General features: G+C 42.5%; 1 annotated feature.

Annotated features, from left to right (window-relative positions):
- Positions 2,184 to 2,725: an enhancer, noted in NCBI's record as "H3K27ac-H3K4me1 hESC enhancer chr8:35034197-35034738 (GRCh37/hg19 assembly coordinates)". NCBI's record gives its function as "activates a minimal SCP1, AML or CMV promoter by ChIP-STARR-seq in naive H9 embryonic stem cells {active_cell/tissue: H9 hESC(naive)}" and the evidence as "EXISTENCE:reporter gene assay evidence [ECO:0000049][PMID:30033119]".

Below are 4,216 nucleotides of genomic sequence, written 5' to 3' on the forward strand. Positions count from 1 at the left end.
ATTTTAGTTATTTCTTGCCTTCTGCTAGCTTTTGAATGTGTTTGCTCTTGCTTTTCTAGTTCTTTTAATTGTGATGTTAGGGTGTCAATTTTGGATCTTTCCTGCTTTCTCTTGTGGGCATTTAGTGCTATAAATTTCCCTCTACACACTGCTTTGAATGCTTCCCAGAGATTCTGGTATGTTGTGTCTTTGTTCTCGTTGGTTTCAAAGAACATCTTTATTTCTGCCTTCATTTCGTTATGTATCCAGTAGTCATTCAGGAGCAGGTTGTTCAGTTTCCATGTAGTTGAGCGGTTTTGAGTGAGATTCTTAATCCTGAGTTCTAGTTTGATTGCACTGTGGTCTGAGAGATAGTTCATTATAATTTCTGTTCTTTTACATTTGCTGAGGAGAGCTTTACTTCCAAGTATGAGGTCAATTTTGGAATAGGTGTGGTGTGGTGCTGAAAAAAATGTATATTCTGTTGATTTGGGGTGCAGAGTTCTGTAGATGTCTATTAGGTCCGCTTGGTGCAGAGCTGAGTTCAATTCCTGGGTATCCTTGTTGACTTTCTGTCTTGTTGTTCTGTCTAATGTTGACAGTGGGGTGTTAAACTCGCCCATTATTAATGTGTGGGAGTCTAAGTCTCTTTGTAGGTCACTCAGGACTTTCTTTATGAATCTGGGTGCTCCTGTATTGAGTGCATATATATTTAGGATAGTTAGCTCTTCTTGTTGAATTGATCCCTTTACCATTATGTAATGGCCTTCTTTGTCTCTTTTGATCTTTGTTGGTTTAAAGTCTGTTTTATCAGAGACTAGGATTGCAACCCCTGCCTTTTTTTGTTTTCCATTTGCTTGGTAGATCTTCCTCCATCCTTTTATTTTGAGCCTATGTGTGTCTCTGCACGTGAGATGGGTTTCCTGAATACAGCACACTGATGGGTCTTGACTCTTTATCCAATTTGCCAGTCTGTGTCTTTTAATTGGAGCATTTAGTCCATTTACATTTAAAGTTAATATTGTTATGTGTGAATTTGATCTTGTCATTATGATGTTAGCTGGTTATTTTGCTCGTTAGTTGATGCAGTTTCTTCCTAGTCTCGATGGTCTTTACATTTTGGCATGATTTTGCAGCGGCTGGTACCGGTTGTTCCTTTCCATGTTTAGCGCTTCCTTCAGGAGGTCTTTTAGGGCAGGCCTGGTGGTGACAAAATCTCTCAGCATTTGCTTGTCTGTAAAGGATTTTATTTCTCCTTCACTTATGAAGCTTAGTTTGGCTGGATATGAAATTCTGGGTTGAAAATTCTTTTCTTTAAGAATGTTGAATATTGGCCCCCACTCTCTTCTGGCTTGTAGGGTTTCTGCCAAGAGATCCGCTGTTAGTCTGATGGGCTTCCCTTTGAGGGTAACCCGACCTTTCTCTCTGGCTGCCCTTAACATTTTTTCCTTCATTTCAACTTTGGTGAATCTGACAATTATGTGTCTTGGAGTTGCTCTTCTCGAGGAGTATCTTTGTGGTGTTCTCTGTATTTCCTGAATCTGAATGTTGGCCTGCCTTGCTAGATTGGGGAAGTTCTCCTGGATAATATCCTGCAGAGTGTTTTCCAACTTGGTTCCATTCTCCCCATCACTTTCAGGTACACCAATCAGACATAGATTTGGTCTTTTCACATAGTCCCATATTTCTTGGAGGCTTTGCTCATTTCTTTTTATTCTTTTTTCTCTAAACTTCCCTTCTCGCTTCATTTCATTCATTTCATCTTCCATTGCTGATACCCTTTCTTCCAGTTGATCGCATCGGCTCCTGAGGCTTCTGCATTCTTCACGTAGTTCTCGAGCCTTGGTTTTCAGCTCCATCAGCTCCTTTAAGCACTTCTCTGTATTGGTTATTCTAGTTATACATTCTTCTAAATTTTTTTCAAAGTTTTCAACTTCTTTGCCTTTGGTTTGAATGTCCTCCTGTAGCTCAGAGTAATTTGATCGTCTGAAGCCTTCTTCTCTCAGCTCGTCAAAGTCATTCTCCATCCAGCTTTGTTCCGTTGCTGGTGAGGAACTGCGTTCCTTTGGAGGAGGAGAGGTGCCCTGAGTTTTAGAGTTTCCACTTTTTCTGTTCTGTTTTTTCCCCATCTTTGTGGTTTTATCTACTTTTGGTCTTTGATGATGGTGATGTACAGATGGGTTTTTGGTGTGGATGTCCTTTCTGTTTGTTAGTTTTCCTTCTAACAGACAGGACCCTCAGCTGCAGGTCTGTTGGAATACCCTGCCGTGTGAGGTGTCAGTGTGCCCCTGCTGGGGGGTGCCTCCCAGTTATGCTGCTCGGGGTTCAGGGGTCAGGGACCCACTTGAGGAGGCAGTCTGCCCATTCTCAGATCTCCAGCTGCGTGCTGGGAGAACCACTGCTCTCTTCAAAGCTGTCAGACATGGACATTTAAGTCTGCAGAGGTTACTGCTGTCTTTTTGTTTGTCTGTGCCCTGCCCCCAGAGGTGGAGCCTACAGAGGCAGGCAGGCCTCCTTGAGCTGTGGTGGGCTCCACCCAGTTCGAGTTTCCCGGCTGCTTTGTTTACCTAAGCAAGCCTGGGCAATGGCGGGCGCCCCTCCCCCAGCCTCGTTGCCGCCTTGCAGTTTGATCTCAGACTGCTGTGCTAGCAATCAGCGAGACTCTGTGGGCATAGGACCCTCTTAGCCATGTGCGGGATATAATCTCGTGGTGCGCCGTTTTTTAAGCCAGTCCGAAAAGCACAATATTTGGGTGGGAGTGACCTGATTTTCCAGGTGCATCCGTCACCCCTTTCTTTGACTCGGAAAGGGAACTCCCTGACCCCTTGCACTTCCCAAGTGAGGCAATGCCTCGCCCTGCTTCGGCTCGCGCACGGTGCGCGCACCCACTAACCCGCGCCCACTGTCTGGCACTCCCTAGTGAGATGAACCCGGTACCTCAGATGGAAATGCAGAAATCCCCTGTCTTCTGTGTTGCTCACGCTGGGAGCTGTAGACCGGAGCTGTTCCTATTCGGCCATCTTGGCTGCTCCCCGGAATTGAGGTCTTTTCTTTAGTGTCTTTAAACACAGTAATTGTCAGCCAATAATTTTATATTCAGAAAAACTAAGTTTCTATATATAAAATTTAGAAAGGAGAAATAAAATATTTCTCAGACAAGCAAATCCTGGGAGAACTTGTCAGTGTTAGACTAGCTTTAAAAGAAATGCTAAAAAGAGTTCTAAATATTAAAACAGGCTGGGCGCGGTGGCTCATGCCTGTAATTCCAGCACTTTGGGAGGCAGAGGTGGGCAGATCATGAGGTCAGGAGATTGAGACCATCCTGGCTAATACAGTGAAACCCTGCCTCTACTAAAAATACAAAAAATTAGCCAGGCGTGGTGGTGGGCACCTGTAGACCCAGCTACTTGGGAGGCTGAGGCAGAAGAATGGCGTGAACCCGGGAGGCAGAGCTTGCAGTGAGCCGAGATTGTGCCACTGCACTCTAGCCCAGGCAACAGAGCGAAACTCCGTCTCAAAAAAAAAAAAAAAAAAATTAAAACAAAAGGTTGATACACACCAGATTGGAAACTCCTGAAAGCATAAAATGCATAGGGCTTGTAAAACAATAACACAATGAAGAAAATAAATTCACTAGGTAATAATCAACTGAATGATTGAAACAGTACCCCACATCTCAACATTAAAGTTAAATGTAGATTGGTCTAAATTCTCTACTTAAAAGATACAAATTGGCAGCTTGAATTTAAAAAGTCACAAACCAAATATCTACTGTCTTCAGGAGACACACTTAACACATATTCTTATAGACTCAAAGTAAAGCAGTGGAAAAAGATATTTCCTGCAAATGGAAACCAAAAGCAAGCAGGACTAGCTGTTCTTACATCCTATAAAAAAGACTTTAAGTCAACAACAGTAAAATAGACAAAGAAGGTCGTTACATAATGATAAAAGGATCAACACACACATAACAATCCTAAATATGTATGTACCTTATTTCAGAGCTCCTAGGTTCATAAATCATTTAATAATAAGAAGAAAAGAGATATATAGCAACGTTCCAACTGAGAACACTAGACAGATCATCAAGGCAGACCATCAACATAGAAACATCGGATGAAAACTGTGCTTTACTAAAAGTGGATGTAACAGATACTTACAGACCATTCACCCCAAGAACTGAAGAATATATATTATTTTCATCAGCATATGGAACATTTTTCAATTTAGACCATAT

Source organism: Homo sapiens, chromosome 8 (genome assembly GCF_000001405.40).
Source record: "Homo sapiens chromosome 8, GRCh38.p14 Primary Assembly".
NCBI lineage: Eukaryota > Metazoa > Chordata > Mammalia > Primates > Hominidae > Homo > Homo sapiens.